Source organism: Homo sapiens, chromosome 13 (assembly GCF_000001405.40).
Source record: "Homo sapiens chromosome 13, GRCh38.p14 Primary Assembly".
NCBI lineage: Eukaryota > Metazoa > Chordata > Mammalia > Primates > Hominidae > Homo > Homo sapiens.
Window position 1 is genome coordinate 46,606,221 of NC_000013.11, and position 27,937 is coordinate 46,634,157.

General features: G+C 40.2%; 1 protein-coding gene across 5 annotated transcripts in view, besides 3 other annotated features; it reads left to right on the forward strand.

Moving 5' to 3' along the window:
• Positions 1 to 27,937, forward strand: part of LRCH1 (leucine rich repeats and calponin homology domain containing 1) — a 199,872-nt gene that overhangs the window by 53,051 nt on the left and 118,884 nt on the right. The gene's annotated exons all lie outside the window — the stretch shown is intronic.
• Positions 1,642 to 1,701: an enhancer, noted in NCBI's record as "active region_7708". NCBI's record gives its function as "activates an Ori minimal core promoter by ATAC-STARR-seq in GM12878 lymphoblastoid cells {active_cell/tissue: GM12878}" and the evidence as "EXISTENCE:reporter gene assay evidence [ECO:0000049][PMID:35858748]".
• Positions 12,391 to 12,895: an enhancer, noted in NCBI's record as "H3K27ac-H3K4me1 hESC enhancer chr13:47192746-47193250 (GRCh37/hg19 assembly coordinates)". NCBI's record gives its function as "activates a minimal SCP1, AML or CMV promoter by ChIP-STARR-seq in primed H9 embryonic stem cells {active_cell/tissue: H9 hESC(primed)}" and the evidence as "EXISTENCE:reporter gene assay evidence [ECO:0000049][PMID:30033119]".
• Positions 12,896 to 13,398: an enhancer, noted in NCBI's record as "H3K27ac-H3K4me1 hESC enhancer chr13:47193251-47193753 (GRCh37/hg19 assembly coordinates)". NCBI's record gives its function as "activates a minimal SCP1, AML or CMV promoter by ChIP-STARR-seq in primed H9 embryonic stem cells {active_cell/tissue: H9 hESC(primed)}" and the evidence as "EXISTENCE:reporter gene assay evidence [ECO:0000049][PMID:30033119]".

The window sequence follows — 27,937 nt, forward strand, 5'->3', positions numbered from 1 at the left end:
TGACCATGTAGAACACAGTTCGACCTTTTTTCAATCTCATCATTATCAACACTGTTTTGTGAACATGGGTCATTGTGGTTTTAATTCATGGGTGCCCTTGGGCTATTCTGAGTCTATAGGACTTGCCCTTAGTTACATTAACACTCCCACATGACAAAACTCATGAGTGCATGGGGAACTTTTTGATATCCTTCCTCATTGTCAGTTGTCACTTTTTGCTACTTTCAGAGGTGATATTTATAGCATTTCCCCCCTTCTGTGTTGTTCCTACCCACAGGATTTTAACTTACAGAGATGACTGAATGATGACACAGAGGGGACAAGTCCATTGAAATAAGTCTTGTTTTGTTTTGTTTTGTTTTGTTTTTTGGGACAGGGTCTCACTCTGTCGCCCATGCTGGAGTACAGTGGCACAATCTCAGCTCACTGTAGCCTTTGTCTCCCAGGTTCAAGCTATTCTCCCGCCTCAGCCTCCTGAGTAGTTGGACTTACAGGCGTGGGCCACTACGCTCGGCCAATTTTTGTATTTTTAGTAGAGATGGGGTTTCACCATGTTGGCCAGGCTGGTCTCGAACTCCTGACCTCAAGTGATCCTCCTGCCTCGGCTGGTGTGCTAGGATTACAGGTGTGAGCCACAGCACCTGGCAGAAAGAAATTTTTTTTTATTACTCACATTTCCTAAGAGAAGAGGGCATTCCATGCCACACAGGGCCAGGAGGAGAAGCACCTATTTGGGTGAAGAGGAAGAGATGGGAGTCAGGGGAAAGCCGAGGCCAGAGCCTTTACTGGGTTTTTATGGAAAAGGCAAGGCAGACTGGAGGAATCAGCTTGGGGTTGGCTAGGCGCTGGGATGGTCTTTAGTTGTCAGTTCCTGGCCCTGAGAGATTTAGGGCAGGGGAAATGTGGGCTGGGTAACTGAGAGTTAGATAAGGAGGTGGCTCAGCTAGATCACAGAGGAGATGGAAACTACTTGGCTGTTAACTTGCCCTGTAATTGATGGATACCAAATAGCCAAATACAGATTCGGAGAAAATGCAGGACAACTTCCCAGGCTTACTTTGCTGCCATTCATTTTGTGGTGAACCAAAAAACCACTTACACAAACCTGTTGGAAGGGGTCTCTTTTGTGAGTACTGTCAAAGAGAGCTATCTAGAAGAGACCTTTTTTTGTGAGTGGTGAGGTTTAGGCTGAATTTTTATTTTGTTTTGGTGCTTTTCTGTAATTTGGGATTATTAAAAACAAAGACTAGACCTTTTTATAGATAGAAACAAGGCTCTTTTATTTGGAAATACCATGTGCATAAATGATGAATAAATAGAGTCAGTGAGGACCTTCTTGCCCTCATGATTCATTGTTCTTCTCCTTCTCCTTTTTCTCCTTCTCCTTCTCCTTCTCTTTCTCCCCTTCCTCCTCTTCCTTCTTCTTCTTTTTTTTTTTTTAATATGAGACACAGTCTCGCTCTGTTAAACACTTGTATTAGTTTCATTGAAAGTGTAATATAAAATCTGAGGATCTCAGACATCTTAGGAAGATGACTGTCATTTATTATCTATTAACCAGGTGAGCAACTTCCTGGCGAGTGAGGGGTGCGGCAGGGAAGGGTGGAGACGCAAAGGCACAGTTCCCTTTGTAATGGAGAGCTTCAGCTCCTGGGAAGGATCTGCAATGCTTAGTGGGGCTGTTCATCTCTAATATAGTTAATAATTACTGATTTGTATGAAGCAGAACTGAGGGCAGGGAGGGATGTGGGAAGGCCACAGGAGATATGAGTTTGCAGCCAGAGTTTACCGGTGATGAATCACCTTCTGATCAAAGCAGGAGGCTGGGACCTGTGGGGGATGCACTTCGACCCTGGGGTGTGACCCAGGAAGTCAGTGATTTGTGAAGGGCATCATAGGTCACAGATGCCTTTCCAAAGTTACCAGAACTTGGGATCCAATTTATTTCTCTTAGTCCAGGCTCAGGTTTGATTCCCAATCCCTTGCATTCACACGAGTCACAGGGCAGAAAAGTGCAGACGTGTTCTTGTGCGACCTCCAGATGTGGTGTGGAGATGGAAGATGGTACTCTCATCATTAGAGCTGATTTGCTTTGGAATTAAAGAGAGACATACGCACTGTGTTTCTGTGGCCCATCATAGTTTCCACTGATGGTGCCATGTGTCATTTGGGGTAACATTGACTTGTATTTCCACTCAGTGTGAGGAAAGGACCATAAGACAGAATTGGAGTAATTTCTGGAAAAAAGAAGTAAATGCTTAGTAGAGTGTCATACAGTCTTTTAATAACAAGTATTTGATAAACATGATTTTGTTATCCATCCTTCTGCAGGAAAAGAAGCCAAGTTAATTTTCCTGAGTTTACAGATTGGAGGGTTTTTAGTATAACCTGTGCCTTTTTCCTTCACCCTGTTTCCTCTTTTACTACTACAGTAAAGAGGGTGAAATTTAGTTGCAAAAGGATACCATTGAAATTTAGTTACTTTTGCTCGTCTCTTGCTAAAAGAGTTAATAATGTGCAGTCTTTAACTTGGACTGATTTTGGTATAATGTAGTGGGTTTCTAAAAATAGATTTCTTTTTCATGTAATTGACAATTAACTCCATAAGTTACTTTACAGAAATTTAAGTTTCTCTAGAAATTACTGCAGTACACATTGCATGCATTCTCCTTAAAGAAAATTGACAGAACAAAATTTCATCCTCTGTTAGGAGCTTGCTTTTCCCTCACTTGCTCATCTCATGAGGGGAAGCATGTATTATATCATGTAATTGACCTCCCGAGCTGTATGGCACCCTTGAGTGAACCAGGTACAAGCAGCCTCCACCCAGGCATTTTCTTAATGTCCACAAAGGCTCGCTGACTTCAAGTTAGCTATTTGTGTCCTTTAACTTGTTGCCACAATTTAAAACCAGGTGAGCATTTTCTGCACAGAGTGGTCATAAGCAGTGTCTGTTCTGCTGTGCTCGGCCTCTTTGTCACCTGTTCCATATTTGGGCATGAAGCACTAGGCCCATATGCCTTCACCATTTTGCAATGTTGTTCTGGGACAGAGTTATAGGGTTTTTGCCTTGAACAAAGCATCTACATTCTTCATTCTTAGGGAGTGACAGTTCCATTGCCAATATGTGGATATCAGTTTTCTTCAAGCTTGTGTACCACTCGTATCCACTGCTGTTCAGTTGCATAATCTCTAAGATTAAAAACTACATTTTGGTAATGCTGGCAACGAGGGCACAAGGAAATAAATTGTCTGTTTTTATAAACATGTAGCTACTGATATTTTTTTTTGAAGGTGAAAGCTTTATTTAAAGGAAGGTCTCATAGAGAGTTTTAAAATTTTAGAATGAAAAAAGGTCTTAAATTTATTAACCAAATAGTAAACTAATTCATTCAACCAAAAGACTTACTGAACACTCCCTGAGTGAAGGTGTGTGTGTTAGGAAATGTGCTTACTGGGTGAACACAACAGAGGTGTTCCCCACCTCATGATACCCACAGTCTAGGGAGTGACAGGCAATAATTAAGTAATTTTTAAAAATTTATAGCTGTAAAGTAAAGCAAACTATGGCACGTCCATGAAAGAGAGGTTAGAGCCTATGAGCGGGGAGGCGGGGACCAGATGGAGCCTGGGCTCAGGGGCTGCCAGACACACACAGCTGCCTACGGGCAGGAAGGGGCCCCATTGGAAGCGTTAAACAAGTGTCTGTATAGAAGGAAGGCATGTGAATAAAGAAAAAAAGATTGACCTTTGTGAGTTGTGACATCCAAGGTGTCCAGGAACTAGTTTCTCCACTTTCTTTTTCTCCTTTTTGTCATGGCCGGCAGTTGGGCCCTTGTACTGTTCATCAGCTTCACCATCAAAATCAAATGAAAAGAAAGAGAAGGGAATGGAATGCTCACTTTCTAGACCTTACTTTAAATTCTGTTGAAGATTTATTAATATTTGGGAGAGAGTTTGAAATGATAATCCAAAAGATGTCTCCCTTTGAACATATGTAGAAGTTAATCATTTAGATTAACTTGCATTTAAACACATAATTGTATGTGATCGTATACATTTTTTGGCTCACTGTTTTGTGTTCAAAGGCAGATTTCCTAGGGTAGTGCTGATTTATTCTACTTCTTTTAGGCTGTGTAATTCACCTTTTTTCTAATTTGGGGAAAATTGTGGTCACTATAGTTATATATTTTTTATTTAAAAACTTGTAATATTTTATTAAGTTATCTACCCAAATCTTCCTCCTGAAAGATAATATCTTTTTTTCCTTTTTTTTTTTTTAATTTCAGTAGGTTTTTGGGGAATAGGTGTCCTCATAGCTTAGCTCCCACTTAGGAGTGAGAATATAGGATGTTTGGTTTTTCATTCCTGAGTTACTTCACTTAGAACAATGGTCTCCAGTTCCATCTAGGTTGCTGTGAATGCCATTATTTCATTCCTTTATATAGCTGAGTAGTATTCCATTATCTATCTCTGTATATGTATATATCACAACTTCTTTATCCACTTGTTGACTGATAGGCATTTGTGCTGGTTCCATATTTTTGCAGTTGTGAATTGTGCAGCTATAAACATGCGATAACACAGTATCTTTTCAGATATGTGTCCGTCTGACATGTTCTGCACCACCCACTACACTGCAGGGCATTTAGGTAAGCAGCATTTATAAGAGTGACTGGAAATGGCTTAGGAAAAATGGTACAGAATGTAATTTATCAGAATAATCACTGATCCTCTTAGCATGTGTATTCAACAGGTAACTGTGACTCTAAAATGTTATTTGGGAGGGAATTTGCAACCAAAGTTAGAAACAGCTCTAGAGGTGCTGGGATCTAGGGGCCTTAGATTTTTTCATCTCAGTTAATCACACCATGCTTTAGGAAGCTTTAGGATAAGATTCTGGTGCTAGTGTCCCCGGTTGGTTTTGCTTCTGAGAACCAATTTTGCAGTTGTCACATGATGAGTTGGATCCTCATGCAGATCCTCCAAGGGTCTTACTGAACACCATCGGTTTATGCTAGTGAGGGTTTGTGGTTCTCAGCTTCCCGCATTGGAATGAACATTATTTGGGCCTGAGCTGTGACAGCTTCCTTCTTCAGCTTCCTTCCTTGGGTTCTTCTGGTTGGGGTATGGACCACTTCTTCTGGAGAACAGCAGGGTGGTGTTCAAGCACCATCGTACTCTCCTAGTCTAGAGCTCAGCCACCCAGTACTATAGCCAATAGAGATATTTGGCTCAAAAACACATGAGAGATGGTAGTGTGACAGAATAATGGAATTGTAAATTGTATTTAGTTTTAATCAAAACTTTAAAATTGATATCCAATATATATGATTGGAACAACTTGAATATGTGAGCTTACCTTTTCATCTCTAAAGTTTATGATAAAAGATTTCCAGTAAAAATTTAATGTCCAAGTTGAGATATGCTGTGAGTGTAAAATACATGCTATATTTCAAAGACTTAGTATTTAAAAAGAATAATATACAATAAGTAATTTTAAAATGTTGATTATTTGTTGAGATGATAATATTTTTGGTACATTAGGTTAAATAAAATGTACTATTAAAATAATGTTATCTTCTTAAAATTGTGATGACTATAAAATTTGAAATTGCATAGGTGGCTTACATAATGTTTCTGTTATTGGGCATTGCCCTAGAGCTAACTGAGGAAAAGATCATAGGGCACCATTTGCCATTGTTGTCAGTATGTGGCTTTCAGTACTAGGAGGTAAAGTAGATACTCTTTCCATACTAAATACTAAATGCCACTATCATTAAAAAACAACATGGCAAATCTTGCCCTTAAGGGGACCTCATTTTTTCCCCAGCAAAACAAAACCGACAGCCTGTTATATAGCTAAAGAGTAGATGAAAATACTTAAACAATATAAATGAACTTTATTGGTTAATAGGTGCAGCAAACCACCATGGCACACATTTACCTATGTGACAAACCTGCACATCCTGCACATGTATCCCAGAACTTAAAATTAAATATATATATAAAATAAACTTTATTAGTTATGCAATGAAATAAAACAGAGCAAGCAATACCTTTAGGTTCACTGAATTTTAAAGTTAACACCTTCAATACAAATGTATATATTTTGTATACACGGTTATGAAGGTATGAACATATTAATGAGCAAAATAATTATGAATACTTGTTCCTCTTTTGTAGTTTTAAATATGTATAAGCAAGAAGTAACTTGACATGACATAATGCTGTGCCACCTTGCCTATTCTGTCGTGGGCTCCAAATGTAAATTCATCAGAAGAGCTCACAGCTTTGTTGAATCTCCTGCCTCTTTGGGGAGATAGGCTCATATGTCTCAATTTTGAAGCACCCCTCTTGGAATGAGGTCAGTTAGACCACTCCAAGGACCACTCTCTTTTCTTCTTTGTATTTTCTGGGGAAAACGTATAGCTAGCATGCTGGGACTGTTTGTTTTGAATGAGTTTGTTTATGAGTTTTCAAAACAAAATTATGAAAAAAAGGGAAGTTTCCAACTCCTTGTGCATGTCTTGCTGGCTAAGCAGATGATCTCTAAAAACAGATTACAATATCATTTTGAAGGTAACAAAGGTATCTTCCTTGCTTATCTTTAAGGCTGCATATTTTATTGTTTATACATTGGCCAATTAGGAACTGAAATTTAAGAAAGACAGTCATTTTAACCTATTGAAGTCACAGAATGAAATGATGAAGTAATCGTATGTGTTCCCAGTTTAGCATATATGTATATATATGCATTGATGAATAATATGATTTGTTGTAAACAAATGAAAAACTGCAGAAACCTGTAATTTGTACATTATTATTTCAGATCACCGTAACAAATATTACCAGGTTTTTAATTTTCTTTAAAAAAATGCATTTCTAGGGCTGGGCGTGGTGGCTCACGCCTGTAATCCCAGCACTTTGGGAGGCCAAGGCAGGAGGATCACGAGGTCAGGAGATCGAGACCATCCTGGCCAACATGGTGAAACCCTGTCTCTACTAAAAAGACAAAAATTAGCCGAGCGTGGTGGCACGTGCCTGTAGTCCCAGCTGCTCGGGAGGCTGAGGCAGGAGAATTGCTTGAACCAGGGAGTCAGAGGTTGCAATGAGCCAAGATTGCGGCTGCACTCCTGCCTGGTGACAGAGCGAGACCCCGTCTGAAAAAAAAAAAAGAAAAAAAGATTTTCTAAAATTGTATTTATACTCTCTGCTCCTTCCCCATCAGCCATCAACGCTTCCCTCCCTCCCTCTCCCTTCCTTAATGATAAGCCCTCAGCTTTGCTCAGGACTCAGCCTCCCATGTGGTTTTGGTAAGTGGTCTAAGACCTGAGGCCCAAAGCGTGATTGGCTGATGCTGTGATTTCTCAGCCTGGTTGCGCATTAGAATCACCCTGGGAGCTTTAGAATCCAGATGCCTGGGCTCTACTCACAGAGATTCTGATTTAATTGGTGTGTTGCAGAACCTGACTTGAGCCATTTCGAAATGGGTCATTGATAGCTTGTAGCTGTAACGATTCAAACATATACAACATAAGCAGGGTGACCACAGAAGTTATTCTCTAAGTCTGGTATGTTCCTAAATGTCCTCTAAATTCTTATCTTCCACTCCAGGGCTTTTGAAGTGGCCTGATCCAAACACCTTCTTTCCGACATTAAAAACATTAGCCGGTTATTTTGCCTCATCAGCACTTCCTACACTTCCTTAGGTGAGCCAGGTTGCTTTTAATCTCTTGGAGCTGCCTTCGTTAATAGGCCTTTTTTTTTTCTTTTTTGTTTTAAATTGTATGTATTGAAAGTATACAACATGATATTTGATATACATATTCCTAGTGAAGTAATTACTACAATTAAATTAACACACCCATCATTTCACATAGTTACCTTTCTTTTTTTGTGGCGAGAGTACCTAAAATCTACTATCATAGCAAATTTGTAATATATAATGCAATATTATTAACGACAATACTTGTGTGGTACTCTAGATTTTTTCATCCAAGATAACTGCATCTTTGTATGCTTTGATCTATATCTCCCCATTTTCCCTGCCCCTCCCGATTATGCCTTTTGAGGCAGTATAGTGTGACAGTTAGCCATCACTGAATTCTGGGGGCCTTTTGTCTATTCCAGGGAGATGAAATTGTTAGAGAAAGATTAGGAGAAAGAATATGAAAAGGACTTAGAGAGGATACAAAATCATGAAGTCACAAATACCTGCCAAACAAATCCACATAAGGAGAAAATAAAGAAATGTCAGATTCATAAAAGATCAAAAAACCCAAACTGTTCTTAGAGGGAAAAGCATGCACAGTTAAGGAAACTTTTTTTAAAAAGTTTTAATAAAATCTGATCTCTAGTGGTAAATACTGTTTCCCAATTACACCTAGACTTTTATCGTGAATCAGGTTTTCTAGTTGACATTGTTGTTTTTCATTTGAAAATGAATGCTGTGTATTCTCCTTGTTTCAATTCCCTTATGTATTTTTGTGTTAACTCCCTCTGCCGGGGAGCGCCAGACTCAGATGAAAGGTATTATGACATTCGAGATGAATAATGACGTAAGAAGGACTTACTCTATTGTATATCACGGTGCAGTATCAAAACATTTTGTCCCATGAGGAGAGGCAGTGAGTCAGAAAATCCTGTTGGAATTGTATTATAATGTAGAAAACCATTTCAGAATTACTGTCTGACATTTGGGCAGCTGGGACTTTGAGCTCATTCCACGGCCACCCCACCTTAGACATTTTATTAGGAAGATGCTATTCTTTTTTAGGGCTATCACTGGATCTTTGTCCTCACTGATGAATTAATTAGGTAGGTAATAATGAATCTGAGTTATTACTGCTGACAATTTAGTCTTATTCTTAAAAACGTTCATTTCATGGTGTGTTACTCTGTTCTGTGTTGCAATAAAGGAATACCTGAGACTGGGTAATTTATAAAGAAAAGAGGTTTTATTGGCTCATGGTTCTGCAGGCTCTGCAAGCATGGCACCAGCATCTGCTCCGCTACCTGTGAGGCCTAGGAACCTTGTAATCAAGGCAGAAGGCTAAGGGGGAGCAGGCAAGACACACGGCGAAAGAGGGAGCAAGAGAGAGCAAGGGAGGAGGGGCCTTGCTCTTTTAACCAACCAGCTCTTGTGTGAACTCAGAATAGGAACTCACTTGCTATGGCAAGGACAGGACCAAGCCATTCATGAGTGATCCGTCCCTGTGACCCAAACGCCTCCCACTAGGCCTCACCTCCAACATTGGAGGTCACATTTCAACATGAGATTTGGAGGGGGAAAAAACCTCCAAACCTCATCACATGGTTAAGTGGCATAAGATGCAACTCTAGGAATTTTTGCTTTTTTAAAACCCAGCTTCGAGCTCCCTTCCATTCCTTCATCAAGATATTCATGATGGATCTGCATTGGGACCTGCTTTTGTCTTATTGTTTCCCAAGACTAAAAAGGGTTTTCAGCGCAAGTGTTCTCGTAATGTTTTTGTCCCCAAGATTGGATGTTTTTCAGTTGTATTATCTCCCCATATTTCTGACATGTACAGACGTGCCCAGCTATGATAGTCTGTGTGGATGGTCTTAAAAATGAGTTATCATTATGAATAGTTTGATGGAAAGATTTCCCAGGAAGCATTATGCTTTGAGTGTTGGGGAAGAGAAGCCACCAGATGTCGTGTAGGCCCTTGTCCCTTTACTGCCTTTCCTCTCTGTTTGTACCCCTGTACAAGGCAGCTCTTGTGGTTACGATTTGTTAACAATTTGAGTAGCTCCCTTATATTTTGCTTCTAGAGTAATTAAACATTGTTTCTTAGAAATGTAAACATGGGACTTAGAATTACGATGCAGTAATGCATTTGGCAGCTGAACTGTGTACTGGGAAAAGAAAAATATCCTGGAGCGGGTTTAAGTTTCGCAGATAAGAAAAATGGCTTTATTTAGTGAATTGGAACAATACAAGACCTGTGCCCTGAAGTCAGTACTTTCTCTTCCCAGATGAGTTTCCCCAGGCACAAGACCAACTTCTAAAATAAAACTTGAAAGTAAATGGCAAAAACCAGAAACAGAGCCCTGTAAACTAGACTTTTATGCTACGGCGCCATAAAAATAACTTATTTGCTATCAAAATAAGCTTAAACAGAACCTTTGTCTGACAGATGACTTTTCCTCTCCCCTTAACCTGACAGCACCCCCAACCCAGTCTTTGGTCATAAGCCTGACAGCACGGTGAGATACAAGTTCCTAGTGGCAGTGGAGGCTGATGTTTATTATTTAGAGAGTTTCTGAAAATGAAAGTGTAATGTCTTGAGTCACTTACTTCCAAATTCTTCCCAGAGAACTTTAAATAGTGTTGTATTAAAAAACAGGAGTAAACAATCATTCGTAAAACACACCCCAGAATAAATCTCTTATTTCTGCATGAAGGCAACTGATCTGAAACATTTTTTCTATGTGCCTTTTAGAGACGGCACCAAATTTCATGCGCGTTCGTGTGAAGAGACCACCAAACAGGCTTTGTGTGAGCAACATGGCTGTTTATTTCACCTGGGTGCTGGTGGGCTGAGTCCGAAAAGAGAGTCAGCAAAGGGTGGTGGATTATCATTAGTTCTTATAGGTTTTGGGATAGGCGGTGAAGTTAAGAGCAATGTTTTGCGGGCAGGAGTGGATCTCACAAAGTACATTCTCAAGGGTGAGGAGAATTACAAAGAACCTTCTTAAGGGTGGGGGAGATTACAAAGTACATTGATCAGTTAGGGTGGGGCAGGAACAAATCACAATGGTGGAATGTCATCAGTTAAGGCTATTTTTACTTCTTTTGTGGATCTTCAGTTACTTCAGGCCATCTGGATGTATACGTGCAAGTCACAGGGGATGCGATGGCTTGGCTTGGGCTCAGAGGCCTGACAATAACACAGTGCTCAAAACTGTCAGATAGCCTGTGTCAGGTCTGAAGATGTGATTTTGGTTGTTTATACTTGGATGCTTTGGATGGGAATAGCCCTGGAGTCAGCCCTTCATTTCAGGCAGAGGAGCAGAGGAGTGTGAGTTAGACACAACTTTGGATCAGGGGCCAGGAAAACTTGGTTGTCATCCTGGACCAGTTACTAACTCGCTGTGTGGGCAAGTCACTTCATTTGTCTAAGTCTCTCTTTTTCCTTTTGTAAAATAAGGATGTCGGCAAATCTGTGTGGTCCCTTCCAACAGTGTTTTTTAAGTTGGTGCCTGAGTATCTGAAGCAGGAGATACGAAGGGTCATGTGAGCTGCACATTCCTATTTGCTCCGCAGGGAGGCTGGCTAAGACACCCGGCCCCTGCCTTGTAACCATGAACAAGGTTCTCGCAGGGGCTCGTCTCAACTGCAGGTCCCCTGAAGGTCTCATCCTTTTCTTTGCTAGAGGGAATTTGGATGTCGTTGGTCCTTGCCTAACCCTTGTCTTTGAAAGATACAGATCCAATCTCTGTGTAGCAGTTAAGTGATCTGACTCAGACATATTTACTCAGTCTTCTTAGAGAATGAGAAAACTCTTCTCAGAATTTTTAAGAATGTTCCTGAAGGACAATAAAAGCTCTCATTCAGGATAGGCCCCAAAACATTTTTTTCTTTATAATGTGGTGCCATTTCCTCATTTTGCTTTTGTTCATTTGTTTATTCCTTCAACAAATATTTTTGAGAATTTGCTGAGCACTAGGTATTACTAGATACTAGGACAGTGAGATAAGTAAGATACAGCCCCTATCTTCAATAAGCTGTATGCCCTGATAATGATACCCTTAGTGTCTTCTACAAGCTATACGGTCATGCATCACTTAACGACAGGGACACATTCTGAGAAATGCATCCTTAGGCCATTGCATTGTTGTGTGAACATCATCGAGTGACTTACAGAAACCTAGATGGCGTGGCCTACTGCACACATAGGGTATATGGTGTAACCTATTGCTCCTAGTCTACAAACCCGCATGGCATGTTACCATACTGCATACTGTAGGCAATTTTCCTCTCCCCCTAACCTGACAGCACCCATTACCTGACAAAAATGGTAAGTATTTGTGTATCTAAGCATATCTAGACATAGAAAAGGTACAGTAAAACTAAGGCATAAAAAGTGAAAATGGTACACCTTTACAGGGCAGATCCATTTACGCAACCACCACTGCATGCGTGGTCCATTGTTAATGGAAACTGTTGTGTGGGGCATAACTGTATATAAAAGTATAGCTACTTTAATTTTAAGTTAACCCTGGTATGTGGGAAAATTTGTCTTCTGTGCTGTCTTGCACTGAATTTTGCATTGGTATTTTTCCCTTAATAGTGGCTGCAAAAAAACTTATAAATACAGAACCTTCTTCATTTATAGAATTCTTCTGCATTGACCTGGAAAATGACGTTGAGAATTGGACGTTACACTACAATGTAGTCCTCCAATGAAGGCTCTCAATGGGCATTTCTTTAAGGCCTAAGTTAAAGATAAAATAGAACAACTTCCATCACTACAAAAGATAGTGTACTCGGAGGAACTTGTAGAGATTTTTTTTTTCTTGTAGCTGTTTTTCTCACTACTCAGGTTTCCTTTTTGAGTTTTGCCCCTGGAGGCTCAGAGTTGAATTCTGTTGGTAGTCACTTAGAACCTTTCTACTGCTCTGTCTTTCCTCAGTTGTGTTTTCCCCATGTGGGTTTGTTTTGGGAAAGCAGTGGAGGGGAATTCCTCTTAGGTTGAAATAACTTTTAGAGCGATGGTGCCACAGTTTACAAATATTTTTAGAAAAATCCTGTCAGATTCTTGGGAACTTCAGACTAACTTCACATCTAAAGTTCTCTTTTCTTTTCTTTTCTTTTTTCCTTCCTTCCTTCCTTCCTTCCTTCCTTCCTTCCTTCCTTCCTTCCTTTTTTTTGGTTTTTGAGACAGAGTCTTGCTCTGTCACCCAGGCTGGAGTGCAGTGGCACGATCTCAGCTCACTGCAACCTCTGCCTCCCAGGTTCAAGTGATTCTCATGCTTCAGCCTCCCTGAGTAGCTGGGACTACAGGTACCCTCCACTACGCCTGGCTAATTTTTGTATTTTTAGTCGAGATGGGGTTTCGCCACATTGGCCAGGCTGGTCTCGGACTCTTGGCCTCAAGTGATCCGCCTGCTTGGCCTCCCAAAGTGCTGGGACTACAGGCGTGACCCACCACGCCTGGCCTAAAGTTCTTATTTAAAAATTTTTCTTCTGATTTGTTAGTTTAAGAAGGTAGGTTTGAAGCAGTGACCAGGAATTTTCGGGAAATCCATTAAGGAATAAATTATTCAGTAAAACAGTCTCAAAGTGAGGGCCAGAGTGCAGGACAGAGGCAGAGAGAGATGGTAGCAGTTTATAAAGAGAAGATACTTGATTAGAGAAATCATTGTCAGAGTAACCTTATGCTTAGAAAGAAATCACACGCGAAGCTCTGTGTTTGAAATCAGAAGGGAAGGTGGGCATTCGGATGAAGAGGCTGTCGGACTTGCATTACTTTGACCACTACTGTTGTTTTTGCTGTTGTGGTGGTTGTTGTTGTTTGGAAGATGGAGTAAATTGCAAGCCTGGTGGATTTCATGTGTTTAGAATTGTAGCTAAAATAGCTCCTTACGTTGAAGCATTTCCTCAATTCTATACCCACGTTCTCAGTCCTTGTGTTACTACCAGTAACTCATTTTCCAAAATGCAGAATTGCATTTTACATTTTAGTTCTTTCAATATTTGGATCAAATACATGTTCAGTGGAAAGGGTATGTTTAATTTCCTTTTGGTTCGGCACTAATTTAAATTATGAATAGAGATAACGTAATTCTAGTATTCGTATTTGATTGTTAAAATATTTGGACTCAGAAGTGCATTTACACGTTTCCAAATTTGACAAGTAGGAAAAGGTATAGAGTCCAAACTCCTTCCCAGGCCTATCCACAGCTACCCAGTGGCCTATCCCCAGGCAACCAGTGTTACCAGTTTCTTGCATATCCTTCTGCATACTACCAATACAAAAGCATGTTATTCTGTAGCCCCAGCTACTTGTGAGGCTGAGGTGGTAGGATCACTCGAGCCGAGGAGCTGGAGGTAGCAGTCAGCTGAGATTGTGCCACTGAACTCCAGCCTAGGTGACAGTAAGAACCTGTCTCAAAAAAAAAAAAAAGCATATAATTTTGTTCTTCTTGTTTTTATGCTGATGAGGACATGCTATGTCCACTGTTCCATGGTATGTGCCTTTATATTCAGTTATTCACTAAAAAAATGAGAAGTATAGAGTAAAATGAAAGTCTGTAGTATTCTCCACTAGAAACAGGTGTGGGGTTCAAGGGAGAGTGTGTATTAATTATTGCAAAACTTCTGGTTAGGTCATTAATCAGAACGGGAGCCATGCAGTGGTGAAGGGCCCTGGCTATGATCTGAAACATTTTTCTGAAGCAGTGTTGAGTTCTGTAACTGAAGTCCATGGGGACTTGCTATTGGCATAACTATATGTGGAAAATTTTGCTTTTTGAGTAGGACATTCCCATGCTTCACATTTAATTTGAATTTTGGTATGACTGTACTAAGTTAACATAGCTTTTCGCATTTTACAGAGACATTGAGTAAATCATTGACTAAAGATAATTAACTCCTTTATATCACATGCTGAAATGTTATGGGGGACATATCATTACCTTTCTTGGCTTATGGAAGAGATGTAATCTAATTCATTGAGTCTGACTGTGTTTAAGCTATTGTTTTGGGTGTCATCGTTGGCTCTTAGAACAGGGACTGGGCCTTAGTCCTTTTCCTTGCTCATACCTGGCCTCCTCCTAGAAGACCCTGCTTTTCATGTTTTATGCCTCAGAACCAAGATGTTTGGGGTCCCAAAGTAGGGATGTGTATGAGCACATTTTTTGATACTTTCATCTTTCTCTTACTCTCTAACATGCGTTCCGCTAGTGTCATGTAAATACAGTGAATCAGATATTTCTCTGCCTGCAAAATGCCTTTTGCCAGTATGTGGGAGGTGTGTTGCAGGTACCACAGTGGATTTTCTGCATCTGTTCATACATCCATCTTTCCCACTTAGCTGTGAGTGGCCTCAGTGCAGAATGGTGCCTTAACTCTAGAGTCTGGTAGGAAATGCCATGCACATTTGTCAAATGAATGGAAATGCAGCTGACTTGCTAGAGCTCAGTTCTGAGTGCAGGGTGCTTGAATGCTATATAATCAAGTTGAGATCTTAGTCTGGGGCAGCAGAAAACAAGAAAAGGTTACTGAGCAGGAGAGTGACAGGCTTTCATTTGTATCTTAATGGGTTAATTGCAGTGGCATTAGAAAAGGGGAGAGATTGGGGTAAGGCATTAGTTGGAAAGCTTTGATAAAGTCTAGGTGAGTCAGGAAGGGGTTCTGCATTGCTTGTTTCCCATTGCTCTAACTAGATTTCTTAGAAAAAAGAAAATCTTACACCAGACTTTTACAGCGTTTGCAACTGAGTAAATTTCACTTTGTAATACCCTGGATATTATACAATTATATAAAGCGCAGTATAATAAGAGAGTTAGTAGCTTCATTGTAATCAGTAAAAATAATTTTTAAGACAATTGTTATTTTTTGTATATTGTATTATAACAAAAAAGAAGTCATCAAGTGGGAGGAGGTGTTGTTTTGAGACGTTTGCTTTCATCTCTTAATCCTGCAGACATTTATCTAGTCCCTTCTCTGTACTCTTAAATGCTAGGGATTTAAAAGACGGATAAGATACAGGCTTATTATGTCTGTGTTCCAGACACTGGACTCCAAACATAAAGCAAACATTACATTATTCTTCCTTATGTAATAGAAATGTTTATGTAAGATTGTGTGTAAATCAGTCTTGAATAAACTGAATTAAATGGAATGTGCCAATAGGAGTTGCTATTTAGAGAAGCCCTGTGATAAAACATTTGTATAATAATATACTTATCTAAACAAGCCCACTAATTTCTATGGGTTTTTTTTTTTTTTCCCCCCAAGGCGAGGTATCCTGTATATTCTGTGTTGATTGAATTCCAGTTGGCCAACCACCTGCCTGGTTAATAGAGTATACCATTAACTTAGTGACACTAGAACCCTGCAAAGGAAATAAGACACAATCTATCGTTGTTCAGTCTCCACTATTAAATAGATTTTCATTCACTTCAGCTTGGGTGGGTGTAATTTGCATCTTTCCTAACAGGCAAGCATCTGCAAGTGTATTGCCTGTAGAAGCTCATTAAAAATCAGTGCAAATCCTGACACTGTCTCTAGAAGCAGGCATTAACTTGCAGAAAGTGGTTTGTATTTCCAGTGTCAGTAGAGCTTCCTCACTCTTTTCCTGCTTCCATGCAAGTTTAGTCCTAAACTAGTACCACTATTTTAGTACAACTAGTACCACTCAAATAATGCTGCTTTTTAAATAAATTCAAGGGGAACTGCTAAGGAACTGAGAACCTGTAAGGTGACAGGAAAAAGGAAATTCTATTTTTTGGGGCTAGTTTGTGTATTGAAAATAATTTTTGCTGAGAATCAAGCTAAGAAAATTACTTGCTAATTTAAACAACATGACAGTCCTCAGAATTTTCCAGCAACAGTTAGGAGCACTGTGATAAAGTTGGCTTTTCTGTTGAGAACGTTTTACCTTTTTGCTTCAGCTTCTTTAAAGAGTTTGAAATTAGTAATTTCAGTAGAGCAGCTTTGCTGTTGCGTCGTACTGCTCAGAGCTTAGTGAGCTGAAGCCTTTTGGGAAAATAGCATTTGGGGAGAGACTCGTGGTGTAATAGCTCATCCCACTGGCACATGTCCCAGAGTAAGCTGGGCTGGAAGCTTTTAGTGTAGTTAAAAGATGCCAGTCTGTCATTTGCATGCACTGTAATTGGGCAAGTGGTTTCAGGCTGAGCTTTACATTATCCTTCCACTGAGAGCAGCTGGTGGTGGGCTGTAGATTCCATATGAGCTGGGGACTTATCATCTGGTGTGTTTAGTGCAATCCTGCCTCATCTTGGGAGCAATTTTTTATTGAATGATAATAATAATGCACAATCTTGGTGAAAGATAATGCTTGTGGTTATTAGAATGTGTAGACTGAGTAGGGGCTTTGGCATAGAGATGGTAATGGTGGGGAAAGACATATTTAATAAAAGGATTGTAATGGGGAGAAAGTAAATATTTTGCAGGATAAGGAAAGCCACAAATATGATTAATTTAAGAGTCTTAAATAAAATGTCTATAAAATGTTAGATTTTTAGTACCAGTAAGGCAAAGTGGCCAATCTCTAGCTTCCTTTATAAAGTCTACTCATCCTTGGAGGGTCGCTTTTTGGTGCTTTTTTTGTTTGTTCAGAGTCAACTTCTTCCTCTAGGGATATGTTTAAGTCTGTCACCTTTCCTTAGGAATTGTGCCAATCTGATCATTTGTTCCACCACTGCTGCCCCGCCCCCTTTTCTTGACTCAAAGAATAATTTGTGTACCCTGTCTCTGTTTTTTTTTTTTTTCTTTTTCTTTTTTTTTTATTATACTTTAAGTTCTAGGGTACATGTGTACAACGTACAGGTTTGTTACATATGTATACATGTGCCATGTTGGTGTGCTGCACCCATTAACTCGTCATCTGCATTAGGTATGTCTCCTAATGCTATCCCTCCCCCCTCCCCATCTCTGTTTTTTATTATTTATTTATTTATCGTTAGAGACAGAGTCTCACTCTGTCACCCAGGCTGGAGTACAGTGGTGCAGTTATAGCTCACTGCAGCCTCAAACTCCTGGGCTCAATCGATCCTCCCGCCTCAGCCTCCTGAGCAGCTAGAAGTGCAGGCACATGCCACCACACCCAGACAATTTTTCTATTTTTTATAGAGATGAGGTCTCTCTATGTTTCCCAGGCTGGTCTTGAACTCCTGGCCTTAAATGATCCTCCTGCCTCAGCCTCCCAAAGTGCTGGGATTATAGGTGTGAGCCACTACACCCAGGCCCTGTTTTTAACTTGCAATACCTTTTCTGCAAGATTGAATTTATATTAGATTATAAAGTTTGTGGACAAAATAGAACACTCCATTATAAAAGCCTCCTTCATTTGTTTTGTTCTCTGGTGTTTGATTTGACTGATGTGGATTTGAGTATGGAAGTGTTCCATGCCTTATTAAGGAAAGCACTTTGGGAATTGGCCAGGGCCCACTTAACTTAGTTTCAGAATGGCAGCACTTTGGCAGTCCTCAGTTTCTCTTATTTCCTAACCCATCCCTACTCATTAAGACGGGGCTATTGCATTCCATTTTCAGGGAATGCTCTTTCATTTTTCGTTGGTGAGAGAACATGAATGCCTCTTAAAATGGTGGTTTGAGCTTGCTGAGAATTTTAGGGGATCCACAGAGTTGAAAAGTCTTACAGGCTATCAGTGAAGCATGGAGGGTTTTCGTTATGAAAATGTCCTGAGATGGGGGGAAGACTGGACAGATGAGGTAGGGGAGCCTCCTTGCAAAGTTAGAATTCAGCTGTTTATACTGGTAACAGAATCTGCTTTAGTAAGGATGAAGCAAAAAGAAAAACGATATTAACACCTTGAGAAAATCTCTGTATTGTGAGCTTAATCCAACAACTCCAACGATGTTAGCTACTTTTTCAAAATACATCTTAGCCCTTGTTACAATAACATTTACTTGTGGAGTGAAATTTTGTATTAGGCAGATTCACTGTAATCAGTAATCTTCCTTCCATTGAGATTCTTCCTGTTACTTTCTTATTTAAAAACCTTCAGTAGCCTGCATCCTCAGGGTTCTGTTTACAGAGACCCTTAACAGTCTATTCAGCCTTACTTCTGCCATTATCCCTACTCTAGGCTGAGTGTTAACCATACCTACCTATGTACATTTGCAGCTGTGCCATTTTATCTGTTTGGATTCTTAACCCCCTCTCTTGCCCAAGTGCCTAGTGGCGCCCTGTTGGCACGTTGAGGGGTAGCTTAAGTGTTTACTTCTTTCCCGACTCCCTCAGTCCGTGTTAGCAGTACCCTCTTCCATACTCTTCTATTATCTTCTGCATACTTCTGTACTCCACCTATCTGTTGCCATGAAACAGGTCACCCCAAAACAGTGGCTTAGAACAATACTATGGACTGCGTTTGTGTCCCCCCACCCCAACTCATATGTTGAAATCCTGGCCCCCAGGGCGATGGTATTAGGAGATGGGGCCTTTGGGAGGTGATTAGGTCGTGAGGGTGGAGCCCACATGAATGGGATGTCTTTATAAAAGAGACCCCAGAGAGCTTCTTTCCTCTTCTACCATATGAGGACACTGTGAGAAAACATCTGTGAAGCAGAAAGTGGGGTCCTCACCAGACACATAATCTGCTTGCTCCTTGAGCCCGGACTCCTTGAGCCTGGACTCCTCAGCCTCCAGAACTATGAGAAATAAATGTGTGGGGTTTTTTTTTTTTTTTTTTTTTGGTCTTGTTTGTTTGTTTGAGACAGGGTCTCTCTCTGTTGCCTGGGCTGGAGCAAAGTGGCATGATCTCAGGTAACTGCAACCTCTGCCTCCTGGGCTCAGGTGATTCCCCCACCTCAGCCTCCCAGGTAGCTGGGACCACGGGCCTGTGCCACCACGCCCAGCTTATTTTTGTATTTTTTGTAGAGAGGGGTCTCCCCATGTTGCCCAGGTTAGTCTCAAACTCCTGGAATCAAGTGATCTGCCCACCTCAGCCTCCCAAATTGCTGGGATTACAGGCGTGAGCCACCGAACCCAGCCAGATGTTTGTTGTTTAAGCCACTCAGACTATGGTATTTTTGTATCTTCCATTGTACTTAATCTATGGGTCTTATATTCAGCAGTATTCTATGTTATGTAAGGAGTTGTGGCGTGAAACCACTTCCTTCATGTTTTTATGTTTCTTTTTAATTAAATTTTAAGCCTGGGAATCTTGGTAATGACATATTATATGCAAAATATGTAATATTAGACTTGATTTTCATCAGATCAGTTTTAGCACTTTTCAGTGTGCAAAGGTGGGTGGTAATGGCTTTTTCCAAAGCATAGTCCCTTGGTTGTATTACACTATTAATGACTATGGGTAGTGTCAGACCCCGAGCCCAAGCCAAGCCATCACATCCCCTGTGACTTAAACGTATACATCCAGATGGCCTGAAGTAACTGAAGATCCACAAGAGAAGTAAAAATAGCCTTAACTGATGACATTCCACCATTGTGATTTGTTTCTGCCCCACCCTAACTGATCAATGTACTTTGTAATCTCCCCCACCCTTAAGAAGGTACTTTGTAATTCTCCTTACCCTTGAGAATGTACTTTGTGAGATCCACTCCTGCCCGCAAAACATTGCTCTTAACTTCACCGCCTATCCCAAAACCTATAAGAACTAATGATAATCCACCACCCTTTGCTGACTCTCTTTTCGGACTCAGCCCACCTGCACCCAGGTGAAATAAACAGCCATGTTGCTCACACAAAGCCTGTTTGGTGGTCTCCTCACATGGACGTGCATGAAAGGTAGCATAATACAATTTTTGCTGAAGTTTTGTTGCTCTTCTACTTTTAAATTAAGGACCAGATAGGAAAGGACATATGGTAATCTATCAAATATATAGCCATTGATATTTTCTTTGTTTTCTTTCACTAACCGGTTTATGCAAGATTTTTTTAAAAAAACAGCAAAATGAAAAGGTTCGTAATATCCTGACTTCCTGTTTTATTATAAATGAGATGAACACCAGGTAGTGTTAATTTCCTTTAATTTCTTTATGAGTCATCCTCAAATTAATGTTTGAGGAATGGTTGGGTGTTTTCAAATATCTCCGACATCTTTTAGTTAGACAGCATAGTGAAATGGAAAGAAATTTTGAATCTGCTAGACTCAAGTTTGCATTTTGGCTCTGTCATTTACTCATAGATGTACTACTTGGAGTAATCATACTGATTTTGTAGACCAATTGGAAAGATAATTGACCAGTGTTTTAGGGTATATGTATATACACAAAATTTGACAGACATGTAATCACACAATGCTTAAGCCCCATATGTTATTAAGCCCACACTTTGGTAAATAACATTTGGGGCTTAAGCATCTGTGTGATTCTATATATGCCGGTATTTGTAAATGTAAAAGTGATACCAGCTAAATCACCCATCTTTCTGGGAACTAAGTACAAAGGAATGGTTCTGTTTCTAACCCTTTGGCTTAGAGTATCATAGAGTTTTAAATTTGGCCAGATTTTAATTTGACAGATAAAAAAATGAGGCACAGATAAAAAAATCGAGAAGTTGAATGAATTATGAAAACTCACTAGAGGCAGAGTTGAGGACGTTGTCCAGTGCTCTGTTGTATCATTATGTCACTGCCTGCCCTACTGTTTTCCTGCTCTTTCCCTCTTCTTCTTCCTCCCTCTCAGCCCTGGTCCACCTACCTTAGTGCATGCACACACGTATGGCAAAGATCAACAAGGATGCTGGGTTCAGGGTCCTTTTCCCACTGGAGTCTGGCAACACTGTTCCTGCCTTGATATGGTTCTTGGTTGTTGGCCACTTAAAACAATGGCATATTTTGAAGGGCTGAATAGACTTCCTTCTTTTTAAGCTTTTCTTTTTATTTATACTTTTTGGATCCGTGTAATTTCTCTGAGTCATCCACATTATTTTCTACTTTTTCTCAGTTTTCATGACCTGTATTACCATTACAGGTGTCTCTGCTATAATTCAATATACATATTCCTGAAAACCTCATGTTCTACAAAATCATACATTCAGAATAATCTGGCTAATGGGAAATATTGGTTTGGGGCAGTCTGGCTTATGGGAAATATTGGTTTGGGGCAGTCTGGCTTATGGGAAATATTAAGTTGGGACCAACCACTCTAAATCTATGCTACTTTGCAAGCACAGCACTAACAAAAACAATGAAAACCATCATAAAACAGGAGCACAGTTCAGAAGACATACTACATTCCTACTATATACAGATACACTTTGGTAAATATGACTTTAACTCATGAAAATATGCGGGGCTGCTTGATGGAAGGGGATGTAAGGAAGGATATGAGGCTGGTGAGTACTGGGAGACAAGAATGAAACACACCAAGACGTTTGCATGAGATCATGCAAAGAGAATCATGCAGAAGGTACATCTAAGACACAAGGCCAACCGGGCATGGTGGCTCATGCCTGTAATCCCAGCACTTTGGGAGGCTGAGGTGGGCAGGTCACAAGGTCAGGAGTTCGAGACCTGACCTTTAACAGTCTATTCAGCCTGGCAACTATGGTGAAATCCCGTCTCCACTAAAAGTACAAAAAATTAGCTGGGCGTGGTGGCACGCACCAGTAGTCCCAGCTACTCAGGAGGCTGAGGCAGGAGAATCACTTGAACTTGGGAGGCAGAGGTTGCAGTGAGCCGAGATCACACCACTGCAATCCAGCCTGGGCGACAGAGCGATTCTCTGTCTCAGGGAAGAAAAAAAAAAAAAAAACACAAGGCCCGGCAGGCTGAGACCATGACAGGAACGGTTAGAGTGGACCCTGGTGCAGTGTGGGGTGCTCTGTTCAGCCTCACTATGAATTTCACATCCAGCTTCTGTTACTTGGAGATATAAAACAGTAATGTGTGGAGACAAATCGTGGATGAACCAACTCCTGAGTTATGGCGTCATCAATCTGCTATGACCAGTCAAATTCGCAGTATAGAAACATGTCTTGTAGCTGGACAGAAAACATCCAGCTCTACTGCTGCTAAACATCATGGAATGTACCCATTGGTTTATCCATATAGTAAGTTTTAACATTATTTTTAATATATTGTTCATTCTGAATTTGACAGTGGTCTGCCAAGTCTCCCTGAACTCCACAAATTAAATAAAGGTATCTCAGAGGGCCTTTCCCAAGAACTTTAATGCCATCTTCCTAGCAAGCTATAGAAAACATTTGAAAACCCCAAGGGCAAAGTTCCAGGGCTGCCTAGGGGCAAAATCAGTGAACAGAGTAGTAAACTGATAAAACCAGCATAGAGGCCTCTGTGGGGGAAAAAGACACCTTTCTGCAGTTAATAAACAGTACCAAAGAACACTGATTGTCTTCTCAGGGTTTGTAGCCCATTTCTGTTTTTTATTTTTAAATCTCACCTGTTATTTTTGTTTTTAGCTGTTCCATAGTAGTCTGATGGAAATACACTTTATGTGTTCTTGTGTGCCAATCAAAAATAAAATAAGCACAATGAATACCTCTAATTGCATAGTTCATGAAAGGCTTGAAAAGATGCAGAGCAGCTGGCTAATGCTGCCAATGAGCCATTGGCTGGAGCCCCTTGTAACTCAGCCTTTGATTCTGTCTTCAGCAAGCCCCAGCATCCTCAGGGCCCATGTGATGGGTGCTCAGTGGAACTCCAGACTTTGTGGAGGGCTCTGTGGTTCTGCTGCTGGGGAAACTGTGTGTTTCTGAGCCTATGGGAATGGGTCAGAAAGCCTGGGAAATGGGGGAGAATAGGAGCAGGAACACAAATGAGGAGCCAGCAATGCAGGTTGCTATTATGTCGCATGTCACTTCCTACGAATATCTTGATAGATTAGCTTCCTTCAGGCCCAAAACCTTGAATGGACATGAACCACAGTATCAGGGCTAAATGAGTAACAGCCCAAACCAGGTCCACTCTCCAGACAGTTAGAAAAGGTAGACATCTCTTGTAGCTGGATGGAGCAGGGGTCTCCCCCAGGGGTGGTAATTCAGCAGGTCTTTAAAGAATGAATAGGATTAAAGTAAGTGAAAATGGAAAGCTGAAGGCAGGGAAGGAAAGTGAGGCTCAGGGAGAATTCTGGGCAAGGGAAAGTTACAGAGTGATTCCTTAGAGCTTGTGAGTCTAACAATTTTGATGTCAATGGACCTTATTCTTGGAACCACAGGGCAACTGATTGACTTTAGTTTTCTTTTTTGCTATATTCTTGCCACTCACTCAATGACTGCTCATTGAAAATTGATGATAATGGCCATATGGAAAGTCTCAGAGCTTATCTAGGATTTGAGTCCCTGAGGCATAATCAGTGGGTGGAACAGCAGATGGATGGGGCAGACTATTTTTCTGTTCCTTCCTGTGACAGTTGATTATAAGTTATAAAAATGGGCATTCTCTTTGTGATCTTAGCTTCCAAAATTACGGAAGGTTATCACTATTTATTATTACTACTTTCTCAGCAAACTCAAAGAATCAGAGTGATATTGATTATTTAGATTTAGCAATGGGGGACTTAAGCTCTTATAAATCAGGGTCATCTGAATCTAAAGATGTATGTCTTTCTTATTTCAGTCTGACCAGTTATTTAAGAATCCAAGATACCTTTACTTTTTATTTGAAGTTCCTTAATTTGATAAGAGCTCTACCAAGCAGTTGGTTCTGTTTCTCTTTCAGTTCTCTGCCAAGCTTTTGTGTGTCTTAAGACACTGGGACTGGGAAAAGACTGCAGTGTTTGTTAAATGTAAATTATACTGAGCCTTGAGGATTTGAATGCATGGGGAGAGGTACATTTTGGCTTTCCTTCCTTTGTAAAATGCAGTTAAACTGATATCCAGAACAATGGTGAGAAAACACCAATTAACTGAATGTATGAAAGACAGTAAAATAAACAAGGTGGGCAGTCCTGTATGTGAGGCATTTTTAAACTCTTTGCTGTGTAAGTGCAGGCTTTTGGAAAGATCTGCTTTTCACTTTGATTTTTGCAGTCCCACACCAGCTTGCTTCTGGTTCTGCCTTCAGGGACATATGTGCTCTCTAGATCTGGGAATCTTTTTGTCTGGAGACCTCAAGATTGGGATCTGCACCCTCCCCACCCCTTCCTGTCTGAACTCTATTTTAGATCTGCAGTAAAGACTTGAGGCTTTTTGCAAGCTTTCAACTCTGAGGTATTTTGGAAAACTGTAATTTTGTTTGTTCTCTGCTGTATGCATGTGGTTTCTTAAAACACGAGTGTGATTATTTTCTGCATCCTTTCCATAGCAAACATTTCCCTCAAACTACATGCTCCAAAAGTAGGTTCTCACTGCACTTGCCATGCCGTCTCATTGCTTATTGAGAGTGACTGTCTCTTTACAACAAATCAACTGGTTACAATTTTGAGGCTTTTTAGGTGGCTTCCAAACTTGTCTTGGGGTTTGTCCCTCATATGTTCAGCAGCCAAACATGCTCAATGCATTGTATATTTCCCAGCAAGCCATGAAGCACTATTGACTTATTATGAAACTTAATTTGATGATAATGAGGCAGGTCTATAAAATAGCACTTTGGGTAGTTTTTACCCATAAAATAGCAATTTGTGGAAGACCGTTAGTATGTAGCATGGACTCTGAAGCTAGAGAACTTGAGTTTGAGTCTCAGCTTTTCTACTTTTTTTTTCTAGTAATTTTATTTATTTTATGTTTTACTGTTAAATTCTTAACCTACCTGGAATTTAGTTTGGTATAGGGAGTCATGTTTGGATCTAGCTGTTGATTCTTTTTAAATATAATTTTTAGTGATTTTTTTATTGTGATAAAATATACATAAGATTTATCATTTTAACCATTTTAATTTAGATGTACAATTCAGTGGCACTAAACACAATCACAAGTTTTCCACTTTTTAGCTGTGTTAGAGGTCAAATTATTTTACCTTTCTGCGTCTCCGTTTCCTCTTCTGCAAGTGGGAATAATACTCCCATTAAGTTGTTATGAGATTAAGACTTAATTCAGGCCGGGCGTGGTGGCTCACACTTGTAATTCCAGCACTTTGGGAGGCCAAAGCAGGTGGATCACTTGAGGTCAGGAGTTCGAGACCAGCCTGGCCAACATGGTGGAACCCCATCTCTACTAAAAATACAAAAAGTTAACTCCGTATAGTGGTGCATGCCTGTAGTCCCAGCTACTCAGGAGGCTGAGGCAGCAGAATTGTTTGAACCTGGGAGGTAGAGTTTGCAGTGAGCTAAGATTGTGCCACTGCACTCCAGCCTGGGTGACCAAGCAAGACTCTGTCTAAAAAAAAAAAACAAACCTAAATTCATAGGAAACACTTGATGACTTGATGTGTACAGGACAAAATAAGTGCTTAATAATAGTTGATGGCCATGAGGATTTGTGGTACTGGCAGTCCCCCATTTGCTAGTTAAGAAGCATTTTTTGAGCCTGGTGCCATATGTCTGCCCCATACATATGCCTGTGTGGTCACAGTAATTGCCGGTTGAATCACAGTGGAGACCTCGAGAATTCTCATTGGTAACACTGGATAATTTTTTCATCATTTTTATGTCCACTTTAGCATGAGACTAATATACAGTTTGAACTTCAGGGGAGAAAAGAAGATTTTCTAACAGATTTATATTTCAAATTGTTTACAAGACAATTGAAAATGAAAAGATAAAACCTACTTACTCTTCAAGTTCAAGGCATAATGCAAGAGGCTTGAAGAGGGTAGACTTCTGAATATATTCCATAAACAGTATCTCTTTTCAGAGGTTTTGAGAAAACCCTTGTTTAAAAAAAATATGAGCAACAATTATTTGTTATTCATGAATTCTAGATGTGTAAATTGTGTGATCAAAATGAGAGGAAAAAGAGAAGTCTCAAGAGAATAAGCATTTTGTCTACATTTAAGTCTTTTGGAAATGATATGTTTGAAAATAATATACCCGTTAAATATATTTCCTTAAATTATTTAGATAAACTGTTTCTATTGTAGTTTCTGGTAAACAGTAATATGAAATGGTTTCTATTTTATTGTCAACAACTTCATTACTTTTTAATGCAGCAAAAAGCTTCCAAATAGATCTGTTAAAAAGACTGCAGAAATCCTCTGAATTGAATAAACTATTTCTAGCCTTAACATTCATGCTTCCACAGTGGAATATACTATATTCAGCCACCATCACAAAAAATGTCTTTCTTATCAGTGCTGCCCTAGCTAAATGTGAACTTTAAAAATTGGAAAATCAGGCACTTTGTAGACAGTTCACTCTTTGTTTCATATTTTTGGGCTAAGGAAAAAAAATTGCCCAAGGAAGTATTTCTGGAAGGAGTCTAACTTCTCAATAAACATAGTAGTTTAGCCTACAATATTTTTGTTGTTTTGGGAATTGATAGTGACCCTAAATATAACAAAAGAATATTGATTTCTAAAGCATGGATCGTGTTGGTTCCTAAAAAGTGAGTGATAATGTAGCAATTAAATTCTGCCCTGTATTATACACAGTTGGTCAGGGTATCAGCAGAATGCCATCATCATTATTGAATTGTGTAATAAATACTTGGGGCAGAGTGCCATAGTGGAAATAAAACTACATTTTGGTTTAGGACTTCCTGCCCTAGCCCATGGCCTATAGAGCCAAGCCTTCACGTTTCAAGAAGTTGTGAGGGGAAAGAGACAGGCATTGGCCTCATGGTAGCAGCTGCTGGAGGGTTCTTTTCCTAGCTCATTTTCTTTCCTCATGTTTCACATTTTTCCAGGGTGACATCACGTGTGGTAACTATTTGTATGGATCTTCCAAGCCCGCATTTTAGCCAAGACATTTCTCATGGGCTCCAGACCCACAATCTGGTGGTCAACATACTCTCTACTTGGTTGCTCCATAGATACCCTAAGTCAAGGCATGAATATCTAAACTGATCGTGACTCTCCTCTCTCCCACCATCACCTCCAAACCTGTTTCTTTTCCTGCATTTTTTTTTTTTTTTTTTTGAGATGGAGTCTCGCTCTGTCGCCCGGCTGGAGTTCAGTGGCACGATCTCAGTTCACTGCAACCTCCATCTCCCGGGTTCAAGCGATTCTCCTGCCTCAGCCTCCTGAGTAGCTGGGATTACAGGTGTGCACCACCATGCCCGGCTAATTTTTGTATTTTTAGTAGAGACGGGGTTTCACCATGTTGTTCAGGCTGGTCTCGAACTCCTGACCTCGTGATCTGCCCGCCTCAGCCTCCCAAAGTGCTGGGATTACAGGC